This window comes from Homo sapiens, chromosome 15 (assembly GCF_000001405.40).
Source record: "Homo sapiens chromosome 15, GRCh38.p14 Primary Assembly".
In the NCBI taxonomy this organism is placed as follows: Eukaryota; Metazoa; Chordata; class Mammalia; order Primates; family Hominidae; genus Homo; species Homo sapiens.
This window is the reverse complement of record NC_000015.10, coordinates 43,919,832-43,946,255: the sequence shown is the minus strand read 5'-3', so window position 1 is coordinate 43,946,255 and position 26,424 is coordinate 43,919,832. Positions and strand designations below refer to the sequence as shown.

Genomic DNA, 26,424 nt, shown 5'->3' with positions numbered 1-26,424 from the left:
CTAACCATGCTGCCTTTGCTGTGATAAGCAGAGAAATAGATACAGCTGCAGATTTAGAACAGTCAAGAGCTTTGCCTTTAAAAGAAGAGAGAGATAAGAGAGCAAAGGACCTGGATAGGACTGGAAGAGGGAAGCCAAGAGGAGGAGAGATTTGGGTGCTGTCAGAGGAAGTGAGACTTTGGGGAATTTTTTTTTTTTTTTGAGACAGAGTCTCGCTCTGTTGCCCAGGCTGGAGTGCAGTGGTGCAATCTCGGCTCACTACAGCCTCCGCCTCCCGGGTTTAAGCAGTTCTGTGTCTCAGCCTCCCAAGTAGCTGGGATTACAGGCACATGCCACCATGCCCAGCTAATTCTTGTATTTTTAGTAGAGACAGGGTTTCACCGTCTTGGCCAGGCTGGTCTTGAACTCCTGACCTCGTGATCCACCTGCCTTGGCCTCCCAAAGTGCTGGGATTACAGGTGAGCCACCACCTGGGGAAGACATTTTTAAAAGATCTGGGGGGCAGGGGGCAGAGTTTTGCTTTCTATGGTGCAATGTGCCCTCCCGTCCATATGCCTAAGAAATCTTCACAAAGGTTATATTACACTTCAGTACATTTACAGTGGGATGCATGCAGTTGTGTGTCCAAGAAGTTCCATGTGGTGTTTTTGTATGAGTGTCCTATGTTGGCATAGGATGAGGGCTTGGCAATCATATAACAGGCTCAGGTACCCAGGACCTACTTCATTCATAATGATATTCCACTGTAACAAGTAAAAGTAATTTCATATTTTAAAAAAGATTGAAATGTCCTCAGTAGTAATTTAAATCAGTTCTCCTCTGCCTACAACTGACCGTGACTTTGGCTTTTGTTTAGTATTCTTTCTAGTTCTTTGGGTTCAGGAAAATTTTTTATTTAAAAAAAATGACATTTTTAATGAAGGGAGTCTTTACTTCCTATAATGACCAAGCACTTCCTATTGAACCAACTCTCCCACAGATAAGTGTAAATGTTGAATAAAATATAAAAAGCAACCACCTAATGCCACTGGAGCATAATAAAAAGTAGGCAGGGTAGTGTAGGGTCTACCCTTGGAAGAAGGAAATGGCAGTGGGTAAGTTTCCCATTTTTTAATGGCTTTTAGATTAAGGAGATGTCCTATCTGGTGTCATATAAACTCATAGAAACCTGCCGGGCGCTATGGCACATGCCTGTAATCCCAGCACTTTGGAAGGCTAAGGTGGGCAGATCACGTGAACTCAGGAGGAGACCAGCCTGGGCAGCATGGTGAAACCCCCCCTCTATCAAAAAAAAAAAAAATAAATAAATAAACTTATAGAAACCCACAGTTTCTATCAAACCCACAGAGGCCACAGCTTGGGATAGCCACAGCAGCTGGAAAATGAGGAGGAAAATTCCAGAAAGGAGAGAGGCAAATGGGAAGCCCCAAATTCTGTGCATAAATCCTGCCCAAATATCTGACTGACCCTTTAACTATGTATGCGTGGGACAGACTCCAAGGAACCCAGCCGGTAGCGGGTGCCTGTAGTCCCAGCTACTTGGGAGGCTGAGGCAGGAGAATCGCTTGAACCCAGGAGGTGAAAGTTGCAGTGAGCCAAGATCATGCTACTGCACTCCAGCCTGGGCAACACAGTGAGACTCCATCTCGAAAAAAAAAATTAGCTGGTCGTGGCGGCTCACACCTGTAATCTCAGCTACTCAGGAAGCTGAGGCAAGAGAATCACTTGAACCCGGGAGTTCGGGAGGTGGAGGTTGCAGTGAGCAGAGATTGCGCCACTGCACTCCAGCCTGGGCAACAAGAGTGAAAACTCCGTCTCAAAAACAAAAGAAGTGGGTCCTTTTAAGTGGTGATGGGATTTGTAAGGGCTCTGCCCTCCTGAATGGCTTAATGCGTTAATAGATTAAAGGGTTAATGGATTAATGGGTTATCATGGGAATGGAACTGGTGGCTTTCTTAGAAGAGGAAGACAGATCTGAGCCGAGCACATTAGCCCACTCTGCCCCATGATCATGTGATGCCCTGTGGCACTTCAGGACTCTATAGAGTTCCCACCAGCAAGAAGGCTCTTGCCAGATGCAGTGCCTTAACCTTGGACTTCTCAGCCTCCATAATTGTAAGAAATAAATTTCCTTTCTTTATAAATTACCCAGTTTCAGATATTCTGTTATAAGCAACAGAAAAGGACTAAGGCAGTGGCCGATGGGATATGGTACTGAAAAGATAAGTAAATGACCAATCATGGAGAGCCCCAAGTGCAAAATAACAAAGTCTGCTTTGCTCTAAGTAGAAAGAGGGGTCACAATGGCCAGATTTGGTAAGGAAAGACTTCATGGACAGTGTGGAACTTTTGCCCTGAAGGAGAGGTTGTATTCATTTTCTAGGGCTGCCATAGCAATCACAAACTGGCTTGAAACAACAAATTTATTCTGTCATAGTTCTGGAAACTAGAAGTTTGAAATCAAGGTGTCAGCAGAGACATTCTCCCTCTGGAGACTCTAGGGAAGAATTCTTCCTTGCTTCTTCCCAGCTGCTAGTGGTTGCTGGCAATCCTTGCCATTCCTTGCTTGTTACTACATCATTCTGACCTCTGCCTCTGTCTTCCCTCTGTGTGTGTCTATGTCTCTTCATGGTCTTCTTATAAGGAACCAATAACTGGATTTAGGTCTACCCTAATCCAGTATGGCCTCATCTTAACTAATTACATCTGCAAAGACTTTATTTCCAAATAAGGTCACATTCTAAGGTTCTGTGTGAACATGAATTTTGGGGGACACTATTCTACCCAGTACAGAGGTGAGTTAAAAGTATCATGAAATATCCAAGGTCTTACAGTTCTGGGCCTACTTAATCCTTAATATTAAAGTACTCTCTTACGGCCAGGAGCAATGGCTCTCGCCTGTAATCCCAACACTTTAGGAGACCAAGGCAGGAGGATCACTTGAGTCTAGGAGTTTGAGACCAGTCTGGGCAACATGGCAAAACCCTGTCTCTTTTTTCTTTTCTTTTTTTTTGAGATACAGTTTCACTGTTGTTGCCCAGGCTGGAGTGCAATGGCACAATCTCGGCTAACTGCAACCTCCACTTCCTGGGTTCAAGCAATTCTGTCTTCCTCAGCCTCCCGAGTAGCTGGGATTACAGGTGTGCGCCACCACACCCAGCTAATTTTGTATTTTTGGTAGAGACAGGGTTTCTTCATGTTGGTCAGGCTGGTCTTGAACTCCCGACCTCAGGTGATTTGCCCACCTCGGCCTCCCAAAGTGCTGGGATTACAGGAGTGAGCCACCGTGCCCAGCCGGCAAAACCCCATCTCTACAAAAAATACAATAATTAGCTGGGCCTGGTGGCACACGCCTAAAGTCCCAGTTACTTGGGGGGCTGAGATAGGAGGCTCTCTTGAGCCCGGGAGGTGGAGATTGCAGTGAGCCAAGGTGGTACCACTGCACTGCAGCCTGGGTGACAGAGCAAGACTCTGTCTCAAAAAAGAAATATTCTCTTTTATGGAACATTAGTATTCATGACAGTATATTATGTGTTATGATTAATACCTAATTATTCATGACTCATTTATATTTTGACTCTTATGTGTTGTCATTGATAGTAACAAGAATTTCATTTCACTGTAAACATTTAAAATTAAGATATCACTAAATACTAATCCCAGCCTTCTCCCTGTCTTTTGCTGTCTTCCATTGTTCCAGATGAGTAAGGTTAAATGCATTTTTTGGGAGAAGAGGGTTATAAAACCCTCCACAAAATCTGTTTTCTAAAGCAAAGCCATTCCATTAAGCAGACCTAAGTTTGGATTGTCAAAGTCCCATAGACTCTGAAAAGCAAGCTGTTAAAACTATAATGAGTTTCGGTGTTGCTGCATTTGGAAATGCTTGCAGCTCAGCAGCAGTCCTTGTACTAGACTGCTCTAGGAGAGGGAGGGGGCAGATGTCTGAGGGACTCTTGTCTTTGAGGCCATCATTTCAGACATTAGTTGAAATTCCATATTCTTGACCTTCATACATTCTTTAATTATGAATTCCTAGCAGTCATAATTTGTAAAAAGCATATGGACAACTCCCCTAATGACAGATCAGAGATGATTAACTTAAAATATTTAATTCAACTCAGAAGAACCAAAGATGAAATATCTTCTTCCTTCCTCTCCCTCTACCCCTATACCAGCAAGCCTGGCTTTTTCTAACAATATCCTTAAGTTAGAGAAAATGCAAATGAAGCTTTGGGGATTCAACTTAAAATGAAAACATTTTGCAGCTGTCATGGCTAATTTGACAATAAATATGAGCATCAGTAATTCTCTTAATATATTTCTTGAATAAGAATCTTAGAGGTAAGAAAATATTGCCTCCAAAGGCTCCTGCTGATGGACTACGTCTTCAGATGTATTTCATGTCTGGAATTGACCCACTTTCTTATGAAAATGATCACCAGTATACAACTCAAAGTTAGTGTTTAGGTGCAGCTGAGCTCACAGGAGCAACGCCCCCCCGCCCTTAGTTTTCTGTGCAGAATTAGTTTCAGTTCTGCTGGCCAGTCTGAAAAAAGCACTTAGAATGGTATTTGCTAGACATAATTTACTACTTTTATTTTTGCAGCTTTTATGCTGTCAAGATTTATTTTTTAAGTGCCCACCATATTTCAAGAAGTGGGCATACCAGAAGGAGTAAGACAAAGTCCCTATTCCACCCACCCAGCTCTCCATGATAACTTACAGATAATTACAACATATTGAGAAGCAGATACAACATATTGACAGGGTTATGTCCAGAATGCTATGGAAGCTCAGAAAAGAGCATCTAAAACTTGCTTTAAAGAAATGTACAAGTAGCCAGGCATGGTGGCACACACCCACCTGTAGTGCTAGCTACTCAAGAGGCTGGGTGGCAGGATCACATAAGCCCAGGAGTTTGTGGCTGCAGTAAGCTATGATCAGTCACTACACCCCAACGTGGGCAACACAGCGATCCTCCCACCTCAGCCTCCTGGGTAGCTGGGACTACAGGCACACGTTACCACACCTGGCTAATTTTTTGTATTTTTTGTAGAGATGGGGTTTCACCATGTTGCTCAGGCTGGTCTCCAACTGCTGGGCTCAAGCAATCCGCTTCTTGGCCTCCCAAAGTGCTGAGATTACAGGTGTAAGCCACTCTGCCTGGCCCAAACATGATTTCTATGCTTTGATAATTGACTTCAACCTTGGTACCTACAAGAAGATAATGTATTCTAACAAACATTTTTTTAAAACATAGGGTTTGCCAAAACAGTGTGCTCTAAAAAGAAATCAATGCAATGGCTGATCTAAGAAATCTTAATTATTTCCTTAATTAATTCAGTAGTCAGAGCCCTGAAAATATTAATGACCCATTCACCAAAGTCATTGTGATAATACTCGATTTAAAGATAGCTTTTCAACCTGTTCTCCCAGCCTCCTTGCTAATTATCCTCCATTCCTAATTCTCATTCACGCCCCTCTTCAAATTGGTCACTTAAATACTATTTATTCTGCCACCTAAATATTGATTTAATTTTTATCCTCACTGCCCTTATCTTATTGCCTATTATAGCTCACCTGTATTGTTACAGTGATTTCCCGACTAGTTCTTAGCATGGTATACACAGCCCTTCACCATGTGGCATTTGTTTACCTCTCCATATTGATCTGCAACCGACGTCCTTGTACCAAGGCAGTTATTTGAAATTCCTAGAACATGCTCTAGACATGATGGTCTCACTCCCACCAAACTACCCCTGTACCTTGTACATACCTCTCTTATAACAGCTATCATCCCATTGTAATTTGGGAGATAATCTCCCCTTCCCAAAAATAAGGTTCACTTTCTAATTAATGGATAGTCAAGGGAATCATTCTATCATTTCTCATCTCTAGAGTCTCCCTGGGCGGGAAGAATGGGCACAAGAAATAGGGCCCCATTACTTTCTTGGAGTGCAGGGATGACTTGAATGCACTGAGGAGGCTGCCCCAGAAACTGTTCATTGACTGCATCTTGCACAGTCTGATGCCACGCACTTTTTAAAGCATCTTTTGTCGTTGTTGTTGTTTGTTTTGAGACAGAGTTTTGCCCTGTCGCCCAGGCTCCGGAGTGCAGTGGCTCCATCTGGGTTCACCGCAACCTCTGCCTCCCAGGTTCAAGTGATTGTCTCTCCGCAGCCCCACAGGTGGCTGGGATTACAGGCACCCGCTACCAAGCCTGGCTAATTTTTGTATTTTTAGTAGACACAGGGTTTCACCCTGTTGGCCAGGCTGGTCCCAAACTCCTGACCTAAGGTGATCCGCCTGCCTTGCCTCCCAAAGCGCTGGGAGCACATGAGCCACCGCGCCTGGTGCTTTTCTAAGCATCTCTGACAAATGAAAAAGAGCACCCCAGCCTGGCACAGTGGCTCACACCTGTAATCCCAGCACTTTGGGAGGCTGAGGTAAGTGGATCACTTGCGCCCAGGAGTTTGAGACCAGCCTAGGCAACATGCTGAAAACCCGTCTCTACAAAAAAACAAACCAACATTAGCTGGGCCTGTTGGCACATACCTGTAGTCACAGCTACCCAGGGGGCTGAGGTAGGAGGATCAATTGAGCTCAGGAGTTCAAGGCTACAGGGAGCCATGATTGTGCCACGACACTCCAGCCTGGGTGACAGAGTGAGAACCTATCTCAAAAAGATAAAAATAAATATATACATTAATTAATAAAAAAGAGCACCCCAGAGAACAACTATAAGACACTCTACCTGGGGAGAAAAACCCACAGAGCCAAATGAACTTGTCAATGGTGCATCTTTTTACTGAGGCAGCAGCTTTTCTTGTCTTGAACTGATGACTTCTTTTGGCACATGCATGTCATGCTGAAGATTAGGGAGATCTGGAGTGTGGAAAGGAAGAACAAGATTAATAACAGCCTTTGGGGAATATAGAGAGGTTGTATATAACCTTTCATGTTATCCCTGGCACCTGCCTCATCAGCTCCCCCATCTGGGGGATTTGGGATTGGTTATCCACTGATATTTAATCTCCAGGATATAGAAATTCAGAAATGTTCTGATCAAAAAATAAATCTATTGGCTGGGCACAGTGGCTCACACACCTGTAATCCTAGCACTTTGGGAGGCCGAGGCAGGCGGATCACCTGAGGTCAGGGGTTCGAGACCTGCCAGGCCAACATGGGGAAACTCCATCTCTACTAAAAATACAAAAAAAAAAAAAATTAGCCGGATGTGGTGGTGCATGCTTGTAATCCCAGCTACTCGGGAGGCTGAGGTTGGAGAATTCCTTCAACCTAGGAGGCGGAGGTTGCACTGAGTCAAGATCGTGCCACTGCACTCCAGCCTGGGTGACAGGGTGAGACTCTGTCTCCAAAAATAAATTAATTAATCTATTAAGGATGAGCATGGTGTCATTAAGAAAAAAAAATCTAAAAAGAAATCTGGCTTTAAATGCTGCTCATTTTTTGCTTCATAATCTTCAAATATTGTTGGCTAAGTTACTGGTTTCTGTTAAATTTTGAGGCTTTCCCTCTTTGTGTACCTTCTTGGAGAAGCCCAGCCTCTATACTGTTTTCAACAGGAGTGGTGTTCTGGTTGAAGCAGGCCAATAGTGCCCAGGTCTAAGGAATCCAAAGAGTTCAGAAAAGAATTCAAGCAATGGGCTGTATATATGTGCATAGCTACCAATTTATAAATATAGTCAGAGGACTATAAAGGCAACCCAAAGCTGCATAGAAGGATGGAGCTGTAGGTTGCTTCTGCAGCAGCTATATGAGAAAATCAAAAAATAAGAGTCTAGCGTTTGGAAAGAATGTGAGCTTTGGAGCAAGGCAGCGTGGATTTGAGTCCCATATACTAGTTGTGTTGTCTTAGGCATGTCATTTAACCTCACTGAGCCTTTGTTTCTCTTTATAAAATGGGGTTAATAGAAACTTTCCTTGTGAGATTGTTGTTAGCATTAGAGATAATGTTTGTAGAATGCTTTGCACATGGTAGGCTTTTTTTTTTTTTTTTTTTTGAGACGGAGTCTCGCTCTTTCGCCCAGGCCAGATTGCCAGTGGCGCGATCTCGGCTCACTGCAAGCTCTGCCTTCTGGGTTGACACCATTCTCCTGCCTCAGCCTCCCGAGTAGCTGGGACTACAAGCGCCCGCCACCGCACCCGGCTAATTTTTTGTGTTTTTAGTAGAGACAGAGTTTCACCGTGTTAGCCAGGATGGCCTCCCAAAGTGCTGGGATTACAGGTATGAGCCACCGCTCCCAGCCTGCACATGGTAGGCTCTTAAGAAATGGTAGTTATGATTTGGGGTTTCTGTCAAGAGTGGTGTGATGGAGGCTAATACTCCACCCAGGTCCCCACTAGGGGTCCTGTTGGCAGTGGTCAACATTCAGTTACCGCTTGAGACAAGCTTATAAAAGACTTGGCTATCTTGGCTAAACTTGAAACAACTCTAAAGGGCCCCTCTGGCTCCAGATCTCCCCATGGTCCAACCAAGTCAACACTAGGCCCACGTGGCAGCTCAGCTTCTCCCTCTGCTCACTCCAGCTTTCTCCCCCTCTTTTCCATGGATGTTGTTCCCAGGAGCACTTTTTTTTTTTTTTTTTTTGAGACAGTGTCTCACTCTGTCACCCAGGCTGGAGTGCAGAGTGCAGTGGCGCGATCTTGGCTCACTGCAACCTCAGCCTCCCAAGTTCAAGCGATTCTCCTGCCTCAGCCTCCCTAGTAGCTGGAATTACAGGCACGTACCATCACGCCCAGCTAATTTCTTTATTTTTAGTAGAGACAGGGTTTTGCCATGTTAGCCAGGCTGGTCTTGAACTCCCGGCTTCAAGTGATCCACCTCCCAAAGTGCTGGGATTACAGGCATGAGCCTCCACGCCTGGCCGAAGAGCACTTCTTAATAAACATCCTTCATGCTAAACTCTGTCCCGGAGTTTATTTTCTAAGGAATCTGACCTGTGACAAATGATAAGGCTGGCAGCCAATTCTATGTTATCATTTATCACCCATTGATCTGAAGCCCAATGATCCTATGCCATTTTGTCTAGGTGTCAGGATGTATTTTAGAAAGACAGGCAAAGCATCAGAAAAACTGTAAAGAGAAAAATCTTAGAAATGTAACACTTTCCTATAGAAAGGCATTTGATAATTTCCAAAAGTTAAAAACATCCTAAATCCTGCTCCACATGACCCCAAGAGCATGGCAGTATTTTTTAGCATCAATTTCCTAAAAATAACTTGGCTATGAGGTTCACATCAATATAATTAAGCAAATGTAATTATTAGTTTTTTCCAGCATTGAGCTTTTAATTCCCTTTCCAATGGCAAGGACCCAGTTAGCGATCTTCCTGGAAGCAAAGCCATTTTACTTGCCTTTACTGTGTTGGTTGTATAAGAAGTTACTTTAGAACCGGGCTGTACTGTCGGCATCTTTCTGGAGTTGAGGCTGGGACCCCCTTGTCTCAGTCAGCTTCTTCCCCTTCCCTCCCTTCCCAAGTACAGCCTATGTAGTTAGAATCAGCAAACTAGATAAAAGGCAGAACCCAGCAGACCGATTCTGAAGTGAATGTCTAGAGTTAAGCTAGACTCTGATTTGGACAGGGATACCATCTCCAGGAATACCCTTACCCCAGTTTGATCCTCTGTTCTTTCCTACACTGATCTCACTGGGTATTAGGAGTTGAAGACTCAGGAAGGAGGAGCTCATCAGGTAATTAGCCTGGTCATAGTCATTTAGTAATTAATCAACAAATACTTCTTGGCCGGGCGTGGTGGCTCATGGCTGTAATCCCAGCACATTGGGAGGCCAAGGCAGAAGGACCCCTTGAGCCCAGGAGTTCAAGACCAGCCTGGGCAACATAGGGAGACCCCCCTCTTCAGAAACTTTAAAAATTAACTGGGTGTGGTGGCGCATGCCTGTGATTCCAGCTATTCTGAGGCTGAGGTAGGAGGATCGCTTGAGCCCAGGAGGTCAAGGCTACAGTGAGCGGTGATTGTGCCACTGTACTCCAGCCTGAGCCTCAGCAACAGAGCAAGACCCTGTCTCAAAACAGAAACAAAAACCCACAAATACTTCTTGAGGATCATGTACAGGGCACTGGGCTGTGAACCATGAATGCAAACACTGGACACCATGCTTCTGTCTCTCCCAGTAATGGAGAGGAGAGTGGAATTAAACATGGGAAGGTTAGCATTAGGACAGCTAAGCAGTACAGGCAGTGCATATCATGAGATCAGAGAAAAGATGGCTTTTCCCAAGTCACTTTTTCAGGTATGTCTAAACCGCGTGTCTCTGCAGCCTTGAGATAGCTCAGGTAGTGCCTTGCTCAGATTAGACCCTCAGTAGATACACACTGAATTGAGTGTTTTTCCCAATGGTTTTCCATCCACTTTTTGGCCTTCAAATAACACAATATTCAGTTGGCAGCAGATGTTAAGATTTTTTTCAGCAGTAATATCCCAACCAATGTGCAGAGGCACAGAAGATGACAGGGATGCGCCAGAGGCCTCAGGGAGCCGCTGGGCTCAAGGTTCCTGCCTCCCCTCCACTCACCCCTACTCTTCTTGACCAAAAACTGAAGAAGGAGCAGTCACACACTTCCAGAAAACTTGCCTCCTCTGTTTGCTCTCTCTATCACACTGCAAAGCCTGGACCATGGTTCTTCCTGATGCTCTGGGGACCTGGTCATTCCCACCCTACCCCCAGTGCACATTAAGACATACATTTCCAAGCCCAAGAATTATTTATTTGTTTATTACTTATTTGAGACAGAGTTTCACTCTTGCCGCCCGGGCTGGAGTTGCAATGGCACGATCTCGGCTCACTGCAACCTCTGCCTCTCGGGTTCAAGCAGCTCTCCTGCCTCAGCCTCCCAAGTAGCTGGGATTACAAGCACCCGCCACCACACCCGGCTAATTTGTTTTTGTATTTTTAGTAGAGATGGGGTTTCACCATTTTGGCCAGGCTAGTCTCAAACTCCTGACCTCAGATAATCTGCTCTCCTTGTCCCCCGAAAGGGCTGGGATTACAGGCGGGAGCCACCACGCCTGGCCCCAAGAATTATTTATAGACCAAAAGACATCTGTTGCTGCTCAGCCACTGAAATACCACATGTGGGAGAACCTTCAGGAAACTAACAAGTTGAGGGACCCAATGGTACTTGTCTGAAAGCACATCCGCAGCTTCTGCCTCAGCCACGTTTCAGAGGCTCTGCCTCTGGTTAAGTGAGATGAGGTTGCAAGGGACACTTTATCAGCCCCTTTCCATCTCTGTCAGTTCCTATCCCTTCTTTATCTGGACAGTTGAAGAGTTCTCAATCTTATACACAAGATCATACAAATAAATCTTTATTCCCCACCCTCACCCCAGCCAGACTGTCACGCCTAAAGCCCTCGCATATAGAAATCCAGCAGTCCCGCTGCTGCCTGGGTTATAGTTTAGGAAATAGTGGGCCTGGGAAGGACAGAGGCTGGTATTAGCCTGAGGATCCACTCTGAGAAGATCTTGCAACGATCCTCATTTTATGAGGCTGGAGGCGGGCATTAGATGATCTAATGGGACTTTTCCATCGCTCACAGTGGAATGTAAAATGACCAGACTCTAGCAGGATAATAGTTTCACATAATGGTGTTCACTGTGTCAGGCCTGCTAGAGGCAGTTTCTAAAATTGAATGGATTCTGTTTAGTTACTCTTTCCATTTACTTTGAGCAATGGCCCTGAGTTTTTTAGATTAATTACACTAGCAATAAACATCTACCTGTTAAAGCTACCCGATTATCCTTTTTAAAGAAAAAAAAACTGTTTTAAATCCTTGTTTAGAAGATGGACCTGGGATGTTATTACTTTGATTGACTAATAACAGAATCAGAGGATTTTGAGCACATAAGAGGACATGAGATTATTTGCAGATAGAGAAACTGAGGCACAGAAAGGGAAAATGACCTGCCCAAGAGATCACAGTCAGAATGTGCCTTTTCTTACTCCCATCGCTTCCCTCCTGCCCCAAACTCCCTGCCAAAGTTGAACATGGAGGACTTGCCTCCTTGGCATGGAACTACATGCTCAGAGCATATTTCCTATACCCACCCCAACCCTCCATGGAGGGGCAGCTGGATCCTCTCTCAGGAAAAGGAGAGAAAGGAGAAGGCTGGTCTTGACAGCCAAGACAGAATTCTGACTAAGGAGCCTCAAGGAGCGTAGATGTAGGGAGGAGACAGCAGGATGAGGTACTGGGGCACCTTCCAGCCCCGCCTCCTAGACAAGAGAGCCCAAAGGCCAGGATAGGACATGTTCTGGAACAGACTCCCTGTCACTGACAGCAGATCTGGGGTGAGAAGGGGAGTTCTTTCCCCGGATTGAGTTTGATGATAACTGCTGGCTTTATTTTCTGATGATCTAGTTCATAGCAAAAGTGCAGTGAGTTTTGAGCTAGTTAGCCATTGAAAATAAATGGTAATTGGGGACTCGAACTTGCAAGCCAGAGTTGGGTAGCTGCCCACTGTCATGAAAGGCAGAATTTAAAAACCTGGTAGGAAGAAGCAGTGTTTCTCTGTAATATTTAACTCACAGTCTAATGCTCTGAAGTTGGTACTCTTGTTATATGAAAACGTGGAAGGTTAATGAAAGTGGGGTTTGTGCTAACAGAGTTGGATTGTGACAGAGGTCAAATATCTGCTTCTCTTTCCCTTATCCCTGTAATCTTGGCTTCAAGAGCTACAAGACCATCAGATGCCAGTAATCCCCAGACCAGCAACAGCAGCATCACCTGGGAACTTGTTAGAAATGCCAATTCCCAGGCCCCACAGCAGACCTATGAACTAGAAACTTTAGGGGCGGGGCCCAGCAATCTGTATTTTAACAAGCCCTCCAGGTGATTCTGAGGTGGACTCAGGTGTGAGAACCAATGGTCCGGAGTATGGTATGCTTCCTAATTTGCTGTTTATTAAGGAAAGTCAGCCTTCTGAGTGAGCTAGCTGTCTGCCTCCTATCTTGCCTCCTTCTCCTCTTCTCCTCCACCAGTGGGACAACCACTATTGGAAGATTCGGGGTTTGTCCTGCTGCTTTCCTAGGCCTCGGTATTTGTACAGGAAACTGTCTCTCCACCCATCTGTCTGGCTCTGGGCCCCAGCTGTCTCACTCCTCTCCTGGGACTCTCACTATTGTTGTTCCAGTGAGGTTGTTTCTACTCAGTGCTGGGAAGGGAGGCATAAACGTGGCTTTTGTTCCTCTAGTGGGACCACAGATCAAGGCAGACCATGGAACTCTTCTTCAGAGTTCTGTTTGCTGTGACAAGGGGCTTTCAAGGGAGGCCCTGGCTGTCCTTCTCAGGAGAAGCAGTGAAAATGACTTGTCTGGTCCTGGGATAGGATGCCAGCAGCTGTGTGTGACTGGGCATGCTCTGGGGAAGTTGGGGCTTCAGTCAGAGAGCTGTGGGCCCTACTTGCCCATCCCTCTCTCATTTATCTGTCAATATCCTGTTGTGCAGTGCCCTGGGGAATCCCAGGGGGAAGAGTCTAATGCTACAGGTAGCTCCCATAGGTTTAACTACAGAGGGAACCTGTTCTGTTTTTTGAGAGAGATCAGGACGCTGAGTTAATTTCTTGAAATATATTTTGCCAAATGCTTTTTTTCTTTTTATTCTAATTAAAGCCAAGGCATTAAAAGGTATAGTGTCTATTGGAATTGTGTCATATCTTATTCCCCTTATTCAGCTCCTCCTTTCTAGGGAGCATGTCAGGAGCCTGTCACAGAAGCTCTGCCTTTGTCTCTGTGGCACTGATTAGAGGCTGCCAGGCTTCTGAGGGGATTTGGTTTGATTACATATATTTGAAATTTTCTACTCTTCTGATCAGGAAAAAAATAGCCTTGGGTAAGAAGAAGACGCAGATTTGTACTTTAAGAGCCACTTTGGGCATATTTCCAAAATGGTAGCCACTCCCAGATCTTGGGGACACTACAAGGTGGACATGTAGCCAAGATCCATTCATGCATTCTTGTCCAGGGAGGACAGGCTTCTGTTCCTTGAGTGCATTGACTCATTGCTGAGGCCTTGTGCATTCAAGTCCATCCATCCTGGAGGAAGAAGAGGTCTCAAGAGGCTGAGGAAGTTGGCACGAAAACTCACAGGGTTTTTATGTATATTTTGTGTCTTGATTTTAGCCCCACAGTCATCCTTAGATGTAAGATTAACTCTGTTTTAGAGATAAGGAAGCTGAAGCTTGAGTACATTAAGGGATGGGTCTGAGATCACAAGCTGAGAAGTGGCAGACCAGGGCCTTGACTCTAAGTCTACTTAGTGCTCGTTCTCAAAGCCTTTGCCTTCCCAGAGCTCCTCCCCTTTCTGCTCCCTGTGCCTCAACTTCTAAGGAACATAAGTAACCTGATAGGAGAGTTGAAAAGGAAACTGCACCCAGACTGCACTCAGGACTCAAAGATCCTGACCTGTTTGCTAATGAAATGTGTCTACCTCAGGATCCATCACATATGTTGGCACTGGCCAGTAAACAATTTTTTTGTGAAGAGGAGGGAAATAATCAAAGAGTTATGAGGACCAGTGAGTTTATCATATTTCTCCTGACCCTGGCCATCCAGGATACTCCCTAAAACCCCAGAAATTCCCAGATTTTGCCAAACATGCATTTGTCTTTTGCAAAAAAAAAAAGAAAAAAGCAGCAATAAAATGAGTTGTCAAACTGTCCTTAGGGTTGGAGCAAGGGGAAGTCGATCTTTCCCCAAATTCTAGATTTTCTTTACAAGTTATTTGAAGCAGCGTTGTATGAGAAGTGCAGCTGTATTAGAGAATGTGTGTGTGTGTTGGGAGTGGGGATCGGGGGGTATAAGTGTGAGAGAGAAAGAGAAGAGAGAGAGAGAGACAGAGAATAGAGAAAGAGAATATGAGCTTCACAAATACAAAGCAATGAGTTTTTTCCTAACAAGCCTGGCTGAGTTTCCAGTAGTTCTGCAGCTGTGACATGACTAGTCCACTGAGATATTCAGCACTGGTTGGAAAAATACAACTAAAATTTATTCAATCAATAGCAAGATGCAGTGATGCTTTTAAGAGTCACCTTACTTGTAAAAGTGGCTTCTCCAAAGATAAGAAAGATGAACGAGTTGTCTGCTTTTCTTCAGACCTGGCTCTGTTTTTCTTTTTCTTTCCAGACACTTCACAGGGTACAAAGATTTCATATAGAAATGAGACACCTTGTCTCTTGAAGCATCACCACTGATATCTCAATAAGACTGGCCCTCTTGTTAGCCTTGCTCTTACAAGCTGTACAACAGCAGGTTTGAAGTTCTGCTCAGAGGGTCTTAATTGCCCTTGTTGAGTCTGCTTTGGGCCATCTGTGCTGACAGAACACTTAGTCCTCCCTCCCATGACATTTCCTTGCGCACGGTGACCTCCATGTTCCAGACTGAATGTGATTTCCCCACCCCACGTGCACATCCTGCGTGTCACACCATGTGGCGATGAGCAAAGCCAGTTCTCTGACCCAAGTGAGGACTGCCAACAGGGCTCCCTGCAGCACTGCACCTGGCATCTGAACCTAGAGATATCTGTGTGGCTTCATGAAAATCACCCCAGCTCTCAATTTGCATGTAGAAGGGAGTTGTTGGGGCAAAGAAGTTGCTGTATTTAAGGATTTGGTGAGAACAGTGGCTAAGAAGCACTGATCCTTTCTCCTTCTGAGCTCTGATTTCCCTCCACTTTGGGGCCTCACCACTCCTCCAGGAGCCACATGGTTACGTGGCCCCACAGCAGCCTCCTGGCATTGTAGTCTAGATACCAGAGCCTGCTTGGGCCCTGTTCTTCCCAGCCTGATGGCTGAGTTCTGAGAGTAGGAAACAGAAGGGAGTACCTGGGTAGGGGTGAGCTATGGCCCTGCCACATTTGTGGTGACCTGCTACTCAAGAGAGTATTGCTTGCAGATGGACGTCTCTGCATTTCCCCCTGGAATGAGCTTTCTTAATCTTCTCCCAGAGTGAGCTGGCTGCTCTTCTAGCTGCAGCCTCAGCAGTTCCTGGACAGATTTCATTGGTTTACGACTAAGCAGGAAAAGTGAGCTCCTGGGCCAAGAGCTCAGCAGGGGTTCCCTCCCTTCAAAGAAAGTGTAAAGAAGGTGCTGAAGTTAGGGAATCTGAGGTTCTGCTGTTAGCACTTGTGCCCCACACCCTCCCTCTGCCTCAGAAAGCTGGGCTGGGTGTAGCATGTGACCATAGAGGCAGGGACTGCACCCCAGAAATTAATTCACACTTTTCTGCTCAGCTCACTAATGCCATGGCCCTGAGAAGATGACCTACTGTGGCTGTTCCTCTGTAACATTAAAGTGCTTTTACACAGCATCTGCTCTGGAACCTGGCAGACATCGGCATGCCACTCATGCCCTCACACCACTAAAAGGCATGGAAGGAAAGCAAGGAAGTCTTTGGCCTACAAGAAATTTAAATATATATAGTTAAGCTAGAATGCAGGCTAAGATGCCATCCCATCCCTGGTGCCTGTTTCTTCCCCGGCAGGCCTCCAAGGACAACTCGTTCAACTGTTGCCCTTCCTCCAGGGTGCCTAGTATCAGTGTGGCTTTCTTCCACCTCTGGACTCTTGTACTTTGGGCTACGGGTGCCCACTTTCTGTAATCCCTCCATTTTACCTCTGCCTTCTCTAAGGGCCCGTGAAACCAAGGCCAGCTACCCTTTAACAGATTGTGAACCAAGGTCATAGCATGTAGCCAGGAGGAAGTTGGAATCACTCTTACCCTCTGCTAGACTCTACTTCGTTTGCACTTGCTTGTGAGGTGCTTGTGTGCCTCACAAGTAAGCAGGATTGAATAAAGTGGAGCCTAATGAGTGGAGCTTTCTGCATCTTGGCTTCTCTCATCAGGATGCTGCATGCCAGAGAGCCTGGGATTAACCTCATCCATGATGGGTTAAAATAAAGCTCCTCTCCTGCCCATGGATATCGATGATGAGACAGAAAATGCAATTAACCTTAAATAGTTTAGGTCACTGGCCCAAGCTTGCTTACTGCTTGCTACCTCAGTCCCTTCCCTAAAGAATAGGCAAACCATAGAGAACCAGAACCAGGCGTTCCAGGGAGGAGCAAAAATAGGAATTATCCCACCCTCAGAGCTGCACAGTGATTCCAAGAGGCTCATGAATCATTCTGTGCACCATATAGAGAGAATAAATGGGTTGTACCTATATGCACTAGTATTTTCAAATATGTATAGGCACTGTTGTGGTTCATAAAATATAAATTTATTTTTTAAACGAGTGCTTAATAAGTTATTTTGATCCAATAATGTCTTTGGGAAGAGAATAACCTCAGAAGTAGCTGCAGGGTGAGGATTTGGGTGCTCTGCCTCAGCTCACTTGTCCTGAAGATAAATGTCCTCAGGCTTGGAGCTCTGACTTTGTGACTAAACAGTAATCACCTGTCAGCGCAAGTGCCTGTTTCTCCGGTATAATCAATGGCACAACATTCAACGCACAGTTTAGCCACAGTGCCAGGGCACCTGCAGGCAAAGGGAAGGGAAGACGGCTTTGCCATCTCATCAAAAGAAAAGACTGACTGTCACAGAATATTCCAGAAACCCCTGGACTTAGGACTGGGAGACCATGGAGAGGGTATCCCAGGACGCAGCTGGCATCAGGAAGTGCAAGGGGATCCACAAGCCCAGGAAGTTGTAAAATTCCTAAAATCTTGCCCCTGCCGTTGGCTTGTAGGGAGCCCATCATGATGGTTCAGCTGCATGTGATTTCACCCAGTGCTGCCTCAGGCCACTCCACCAGCCACAGGTGTGAGTGCCTCAAAGGAAGGGCTTTGTCGCAACCCTCTGTGAAAGGTGCCTCTGCGCAGAGCTCTAAGTTGATTCTACCTTTGCATACCTACTGGGGATTTAAATTTCATGGAATTCTATGTCTACCTCTTTCCTCATTCCCCTCACCCCCACCCCAGCCTTGGAGAAAGAGCAAAGGAAGATGCTTCTCTTCATTAGTCTATGCAAGAGCCCTGCAGCTCAAAACAATGCATCTAACACTGGTAACTGGTAAATGGGAACTTGAGGGAACTATGTCTTCACGGCGGGGGAGCAGGGGGATTCACCAGGTGCTGAAAAGTAACCAGAAAAAGGTCTTTTTTATGTAGCTGTAGGGAATGGGTAGTGGGATATATCCTTATTTCCTAACTACTCCAAGAGAAAAGCCATGCTTCCTTTTTCTTCCTGTGAAGTGGAAGAAATCTGAAGTTGGATCTACCAAGTTCAGGGTTCTTACCAGCTAAGAGCCTTACAAGTGCATCTGAACTCGCAGCCCATGAGAATGAGTTGTTTTATGAAAGGCAGGATTCTTATTAAAAGTCTGTATGATTTCCATCACAGAAGCATGTTTTCCCTATAGCTATCTCTGTCCCATTGCTAATCTGGTTGTTGTATGTATGGAAGCAAACTTCTTCAGCCCGTAAAACTCACATCATACTGTAGTAGTGTTTGTGAAAAACATTTTTTCATTAAAAAAAAAAAAGCACCAGCTGATCACAATGTAAAAGCCAGCTTGGTGCAAAGTAAAATTTGTAGAGAAAAGCAATGAAAATATGCTACTGTCTCTCACTGTTCCATTTCAGTTGCTCTGAGAGAGATAATAGTATAGGATATGCTGCATGGGATAGAGTGGAACATGTTTCCTCTGCTCCCAGAGAACCTGAAATACCTCTTTAAGCTCTTCTCACTCTCTTGGCATCAGTGAAGAAGTAGTTAATAGGCCCTGCACAAAGAAAGTTCTGACGGAGTCCTTTGAAAGACCTGGTTTGTGGCCCACCACCCAGAAGTCCCAGTGTGATTCATAACGAGTCTCTGTCCTGAGAGTCACTCTTTCCTGTAGGGGACCAAAGACAGGAGGAATAGGGCCTGCGAGTTCAGGCTTATGTTGTGAGAGGGAGTATGAGGCTAGCAGAAGTGATACCAGTGGGCTGGGGGAGGTCCCCAAACGCCAGTGAGACCTCCACCCCACCTGGTGTCCAGGCTCTTGACACCATTGAGAAGATAAGAATTCTTTCAAGAAATTCAAGGAAGAGTCAGAAAATAGTAAAAGAACAGAGATTTATTGAGATTTATTGCAAAGGGCAAAGTACACATTCAAGAAAAGGGAGCGTAGGCATACTTGAGAGAGTCATTCAGTGGGGTTTGGGGTTTCTGTCTTTATGGGTTTCTTTAACCAAGGGGTGGAATATTCAAGAAAATTCTTGGGAAAAGGTAGAGATTTCTCATAACTGCAGTGGCACCTATTTTTACAGCAAATATGGGTGGTCTTGGAACAGTCCTGGCGCTGGTAGGTGTGTGATCTAGTATGTTAACGAGTTTATAGTGAGGTCCTAGGAGAAACCTAGGTCAAATCCAGCCACACATTGGGTTCAGTGGGTCTTAGCTAGCTTGGTCTATGCCCTGTTTTTCAGGGTCTTATCAGCCCATAGCCTCTAGTCATGTGAAACTGCTGTCTGGAATTTTTATTCTCCTGTGACCACCCTGTATTATTCCTGTCTCAGAAGAGGAGGGGTGTTGCCCACATGTTGCCTCCTTCTGTAGTTGAGCTGTCTACTCACCTATTCTTCCAGCTCCTGCAAGGACAAACTTCTTAACATAACTGCCGCGAGATCAGCATCCTGCCCTAGTTCTCCTTGGATAGTATGTGGTGAGTTAGCAGAAGGGGAAGAGGTGAGGTGTAAACCTTTTGTGAAGGTCTTTAAAATATGCTCATTCTTGGGGCAGGGCCAGGCCCTTCTGTAATTACCCATGGCCTTGGGCCTTGGCACAGGAGAGATCTTTGGATCTTATCTTACAACCTCAATTTCTGAGACAAACGTGATAACCACTACACTACAGAAATTCCTCATACAACCTCAATTTGTATGCAAAATTAGACATAGACCCGCCAGAGATGATCATCTGAACTGAGCTGCAGAGACCACTGGGGACAGGCCAGCGATGGATGCTGTGCAGGCTCCAGATGTTTTGACAGGTTCCTGCAAGTCATTCTCCTCCCACTTCACCCTTGGCATCCAGGCAGGTCTCTGAAGTAGAAGGTTATGGGTTATAAACGGCCTAGCTTTTCACCATTTTGTGAAATCTTTTAGCAAACCTTTTCCCTTCTATTCATTCAGTAATTTATTCAACAAATAATTATTGAGGACCTGCCTGCCATGCATCAGGCCCTGTGCTAAGTTCTGGGGGAAGGATTCTGACCTCATGAAAATTACAGTCTAGAAAGGAAGCAGATAGTAAATAGATAACTAAACAAATCAACAAGATAATTACAGATTGGTATAAGTGCTATGAAGGACATAAATGGCAAAATGAGATGGAAAGTAACTGGGAAGGGCTGTACTATAGGGAAAGGCCTCTCTGAAGAGGGGACATTTGAGCTGAGTCCTCAAAAAATAGGAGTGGCTGCAGAGAGCTGCAGGAAGAACATTCCCGGCAGAGGGAATGCAAAGACAGTGGCAGAAAAGCCTTGGGGAGTTCAGAACGGAAAGGCCATGGCTGAAGTGTAGTGAGGAAAATGATTTTGGGTGAGTGCAGAGAGAAGCCAGGCTGTATAGGGCCTGGGACGCCATGATCAGAGTTTTCATTTTATTCTGAGAGCAACAAGAATTAAGAGAAGTGAGTAACATAAAGATCATTGTATGTTCACTGCCACATTGTTTGTAATAGCAAATTAGAAACAAATGTCATCAATATGGAACTGGGTAAATAATTTTAGATTCATTGCAGTGACATGCAGCAGTTAAAAACTGTGAGGCATATCTATATATATTGCCATAGAAGGATTTGCAGGATACCCTAAGTGGGAGAAAAGAGCTTAAAAATATGTTACAAAATGTATTTTTAAAAGAGGAGATGTATATGTATGTAGGTTTGCCTGTGTATAAAACATCACATAAAGGATATACAAGAGGGCTGGGCATGGTGGCTCACACCTTTAATCCTAGCACTTTGGGAGGCCGAGGCAGGCAGATCACCTAAGGTCAGAAGTTAGAGACCAGCCTGACCAACATGGTGAAACCCCGTGTCTACTAAAAATACAAAAATTAGCTGGACGTGGTGGCACATGCCTGTAATCCCAGCTACTTGGGAGGCTGAGACAGGAGAATCGTGTGAACCCAGGTGGTGGAGGTTGCAGTGAGCCAAGACTGCGCTATTGCACTCCAGCCTGGGAGACAGAACGAGACTCCATCTCAAAAAAAAAAAAAAAAAAAGGATATACAAGAAGCTGATAACAGTTGCTTCTAGGGAGAGGAACTGGGGCACAGGGTGGCCAGGGTGGAAGGGAGACTTACTGTTCATAGTATATCCTTTTGTTTGTTTAAATATCCTACAATGTGCCTGATCACTTATTCAGCAAGAAAGAGATGATGTCTAAATTGTGGACACCCTCATTGCTGTGCGGAGAATGGACTGAAAGGGCAAGAGCAAAGGCAGAAGATCAGTTAGAAGGCTCTGGCAGTGGTCCTGTTGAGGGATGGTGGTGGCTTGACCTATGGTGTTGGTAACAGAGAGGAAGAGAAGTGAATGGATTCAAGATTTACTTTAGAGGCTCAGTCAGCTGGGCCTGGTGTAATTATTGCTGTATTCCACACTGACATTCCCTACACCCACAGTTTAAGAAAGCTCTCTGTGCATTTGAGATGGGAACTGGGCTTACCTGACTCTACCCTGACTTCTCTGACATCTTTGTGGTGGGAAGGGTTCTTGGGCTCCTTCCAGGTGCTAAAAGCCTCTGGATTCCAGACAGTGAGTGATGTATCACAATGTGGAGGACATAGTTATGGACATTCACCCCTTTCATAGACACATGCAACAGTTACAAACAACTTTTAATGGCTATAAAAAAAAAAAAAGTTACACTGAAGAAACCCACTCATTTCTCAATGGAGTTTTCTTTCTTTGCAGAGAGATGCCAAAGGCCAGTACCTGTTTGACCTTCTTTGCCACCATCTGAACCTACTTGAGAAAGACTATTTTGGTATCCGCTTTGTAGACCCAGATAAGCAGCGGGTAAGTCAATATTCAAAGCACAAAAGGAGGACAGGGCTAGTCAATAAGACTGAGGTCTTGAACTGTCATTCATATTCAAAGTCAAGCTTCAGGAATCAGGGACCAACCAGACCCTGCAGTTGGATGTCGTCTCTTCAGATCATAGCATTAGACCTGGAAGGCACCTTGGCTAGAGCTCACCTGGAGAAGCTTGTCATTTTACAGTTGCTGAAATGGCAGGCTAGGGAGCTTAAATGATTTGCACAAAGTTGGAGGCAGAGCAGCTGGGCTGGAGTTGTGGTCTCGGAGCCCAAGTCACAGGGTGAGCCTCTCCTGCCCACTTTCTAGTAAGCAGGCTGAAGCACATTGTACTGGTTAGGAAAGGCCTCACCAAAGGTGCCATACCAACCCAATCTAGGCAGTACAGACAGAGCCAAACCAGCGCGGGCCTTTCAGCACCTTGCAGATCTTGCAGTTCTTGCTCTGCTCTACACAGCATAGGCAGCTCTGCAGACACAGGGCATTCTGATAGCCAAGGGTGCTGATATTCCAGACAGATTCAGGAACAAGTCCATCATCTCAGGCCCCTGCCTATTTCTCCAGCTTCATCTCCCCAACCTGCTGTGGTCCCGCCAGACAGTAATACTTTTGCCCTCCAGATACATCATACCTTCTTTCTTTACAGAGCCTTCACCTATAGAGTTCCCCTGCCTAGAATCTTCTCCTTTTCCTTACCGCTCCACACTCCACACCCTTCTTCCAGCTAACTCCTTTTCACACTTAAGGTCTCAGCTTAGACTTTTACTTCCTCTGGGAAATCTCCCCTAACCCCACTCTGTATTAGGGATCCTCCTATGGGCCCCCATGTGCCCTCTGCTACCCTGTTATAGCACTTATTACATCATTCTGTGATTACCTGTGTTCCCTGCAAAAATGTAAGTTCCATGAGGGCCTGGACTTTGTCTCATTCATCACTATCTCCCATTTAACTAGCACAGGCCTACAATGTAGTTGGTGTTCAATAAATATTTTCTGAAGAAATGAATGCATGAGTGAGTTAATGGCTTATAGTGTTGTATTTCTTACGTCCATTTGCCCAGCCTCCCAGCTTGCAGACACCTGCAGTTTCTATAACTTCCCTTCATCTACCCTTTGCTCTTTGTGGAGATGTACTCTCTGGCATCCCCACCAAAGTAGAGAGGTAATGATGGTGTTTCTTTGTTTGGTCCAAACTTTTATCCTTAAAAAGGAAGGCTGGCTGTGTGCACTGGCTCATGCCTGTAATCCCAGCACTTTGGGAGGCTAAGGCAGGCGGATTGTTTCAGCCCAGGAGTTCATGACCAGCCTGGGCAACATGGCAAAACCCCGTCTCCACTAAAAATACAAAAATTCGCGGAAATGGTGGCATGTGCCTGTAGTCCCAGCTACTTGGGAGGCTGAGACATGAGAATCACTCGAACCCGGGAGGTGGAGGTTGCAGTGAGCCAAGATCACACCACTGCACTCCAGCCTGGGAGACAGAGCAAGACTCTTGTCTTTAAAAAAAAAAAAAAAAAAGGAGGGCCAGTTACTCCAAGATCTCTTCATCCCCTAGAGTGGTGGTATATGAAGAAAAAAAGGCGAATTGTATCCTGTTCATTGGTTTTTTAGTTAGGTCAGAATGTGCTTGAGGAGAGTAAGAGAATATGTGGATGTGGTGAAGGTTAAAATGAGAAGGAACTAGAGAGAGATAAGAACATGGGAAAGAGGAGAAGTAAACATTTATGGAGTTCCTACTGCTTGCCAGGCTCTGCGCTGCACACAAACCTAATTCTTCCAGCTGATGTATACTGCTCACTGAGTCGTGCCAGGCACTAAGCTAAGAGCTTCACGTATGTTATTCCATCTCATCCTTAACAAAATGAGATGAGTATCCCTAATGATAATATCTGTTATCCAGATGAGTAAATAAAGTCTCAGACAAGTTAAGTAACTTGCCCCAGGTCAGTGGCAAAGCCAGCCTCGAGCTCAGACCTGTTTGACTCCAGGGCCAGTGTGGTTTCTGAGATTCCATGCTGAATGTATAACTGATAGCCTCTGAAAGTTGTGTAATTCTGTGCCTTGCGGGAGGGGTTAAGGAGAGCAGAGAGGCTTGAGACAGTAACTGAGGGTTGTAGGGAAATGGGGACCTGTAGAGAGTTGTCCTTAGTCCACTGATTCATGGTAGGGATGGAGGAGCTGAGCTCCCCTGCTCCCTCAGGGTGTAAGGGCCTAAAATAAACCTCTTTCCCTGGGTCTCAAGACAGTCTGAACCCAGCACTTACATCCATCCGATGTCAGTCCTTGCTCTGCAGGAGCCTCCATGCATCTGCAAGCTCTCCTGGTCTCTCCTGGAGGAGCTGCCCTTACTTTCCTTCCCCAGGATGCCTGACTCGGGCCCAGGGCCTCCACCTTCTCTTGGCCTCTGCTTTGTACCCTTTCAAGCCCCTAGAGTCTGAAGATTGTGCCACATTGGCCCATTCACTCAGATAGGGGAGGAAACCCTCCTCTCTGAATCTTCTTTTCCTCTTCTTTTAATCCCTCCTCCCTAAGCCCATGTTGTCTGTTTGCTAGTGAATCTGGGACCGATTTGGTCAGGCATTTGCAAAAAGCCACTCTGGCCATCACCATATTCTTGGGTTCCTCTCAAGATTTCTCTGCCAGACTCCAAATCCCATGGATCAGCTGTGACAGCTCTTCAGTCCCTTCTCACCCCTTGCTACTATCCTCCAGCCTCAGTCCTTTCTTGAGCTCTCACTACAATAAAACTAAAATCTTCTTTCTAGCTATTGTCAAGGGGAATAGGCTTTTGTCATTCAGCTTTATCTGCCCTCTGCTGATAATGCATCTCACAGTCATTAATTTCTACCTTCCTTTGTTTATTTCTTTTAATCTATCAGTCTAATGTCTGGGGGTGTTGCTGTTCTGTGTACTGAATCCCTGGCACTGGCTATGTTCTCCTCACTGTCCACAATTCCAGTGTGCTCTGAACAGATAGGCCTCCTCCGTCTTCACAGGCATACCCTGGAACCCCAGTTGTTTCTGAGCAATTTCATCTCTTGCCTTTGCCTCCCTGTGAAGCTGAGCCGCGGTGGGCCGTGTAATGTGAGAAGGGCCTCTTAACCACATTGAGTGGCTATAATGAGTTGCCAGCCTCGTGGGAACTCAGATCAGCAGAAGCAGGAGAGCAGAATGTCAGTCCAGATTATCCATGTGGAGCTGACAGAAGAACTGGCTCTTAGTGGGTCCATTAACTGCATGACCCATGGCCCAGCCCAGAAGGTGATCACTGGGAATCAAGGGAGGCCAGGATGCTGACTGCAGCGCCCTGGCTGCTCTCCTGCCAGAGGGAGGACTCTGCCAAGACATTACACTAAATTGAAGTAGCCAGAAAAGAAGGAAGTATGGGCCCAGTCCCTTTGCCATTCAGCAGCTACCTATTGAACACTGTGCTAGGCACTGGTGATACAGTGGTAAACGAGACTGACAGTTCTGGGCCTTCATGGAGCTTACATCTGGCAATGTTAAGCTACCTCTGGATAATCAAACTCCAATTAATAGCAGTCCTACCTAATCTTGATTAGCAAAAAGCAACAAACATCAATAATAAAATTTATAAAGGACCCATGTAGAATTAAGGAACACATATAGAATGGTTTCATTGCTTCCCCCAGACGTTAAGTACCATGGGAAAATGTATTCTGCCTCTATGTCCTGCCTCCTTGAAAAATCCAAGGGGAAGAAGGTACTATCCTACACGTTGGTTGTGGTTAGTTATCATTTGAGATTTAGATTTTAAAACATCACTGGATGCCAAGGAATCCTGAGTATGTGTTTTCTAACACAAGGGTTGGCAATTTATGTTACTCAAAGAAAGATGGAATATATACCAGCCATCCCTGACTTAGGAAATTTCCACTTCTCACTACTTTCTAGAGTTGCTACCAAAATCTTCTATTCCCACTCCCCTGCCAAAAAAAGAAGAAAAAAAAAGCTGGTGCATAACAGAAACACACACCACCCATTAAAGTCAGTATTTCCCGACTCAACCCAGGTGGGGCTCTGTCCCCGCCACACATACATGCAGTCGCTTGTGCCTTAATCGCATGCCAAAAACATGGCTCAGAATTTTGGCACCCTGCTTTAGAAGACAGCATTTCCAGGGAAGCCCATAAATGGCATCTGAAGCTGGAACTATTCCCCCCTTCACAGCTGGCTCCATGGGAGCTCATTTCAGAAAATCATATCACTCTTTACTCACCAAACTTATCTTTCATAAGCTTTTGGGCTGCTTTCACCCTAGGCTACAATCTGTCTAGTTTTTTAAGTTGGAGAAAACAAGTTATATTTTACAGCCCTTCTCATTAGGGTTTTCA

At 45.3% G+C, this 26,424-nt stretch overlaps 1 protein-coding gene across 11 annotated transcripts in view, besides 2 other annotated features; it reads left to right on the top strand.

Moving 5' to 3' along the window:
- FRMD5 (FERM domain containing 5) overlaps positions 1 to 26,424 on the top strand; it is a 328,710-nt gene that overhangs the window by 253,218 nt on the left and 49,068 nt on the right. For 10 of the 11 annotated variants that reach the window (XR_931927.4, NR_104455.2, XM_047433194.1 and 7 more), the window contains one exon: positions 21,947 to 22,051. The exons of the other annotated variant lie outside the window; for it this stretch is intronic. Coding sequence is in view for 4 of the 10 variants with exons in the window: in NM_001322949.2 (NP_001309878.1) it covers positions 21,947 to 22,051 (105 nt within the window). In the remaining 6 variants the exon portion in view is untranslated. The remainder of the gene's footprint in view (positions 1 to 21,946; positions 22,052 to 26,424) is intronic. 11 annotated transcript variants of the gene reach the window in all.
- Positions 17,040 to 17,689: an enhancer, noted in NCBI's record as "OCT4-NANOG-H3K27ac hESC enhancer chr15:44220765-44221414 (GRCh37/hg19 assembly coordinates)". NCBI's record gives its function as "activates a minimal SCP1, AML or CMV promoter by ChIP-STARR-seq in primed H9 embryonic stem cells {active_cell/tissue: H9 hESC(primed)}" and the evidence as "EXISTENCE:reporter gene assay evidence [ECO:0000049][PMID:30033119]".
- Positions 17,690 to 18,341: an enhancer, noted in NCBI's record as "OCT4-NANOG-H3K27ac hESC enhancer chr15:44220113-44220764 (GRCh37/hg19 assembly coordinates)". NCBI's record gives its function as "activates a minimal SCP1, AML or CMV promoter by ChIP-STARR-seq in primed H9 embryonic stem cells {active_cell/tissue: H9 hESC(primed)}" and the evidence as "EXISTENCE:reporter gene assay evidence [ECO:0000049][PMID:30033119]".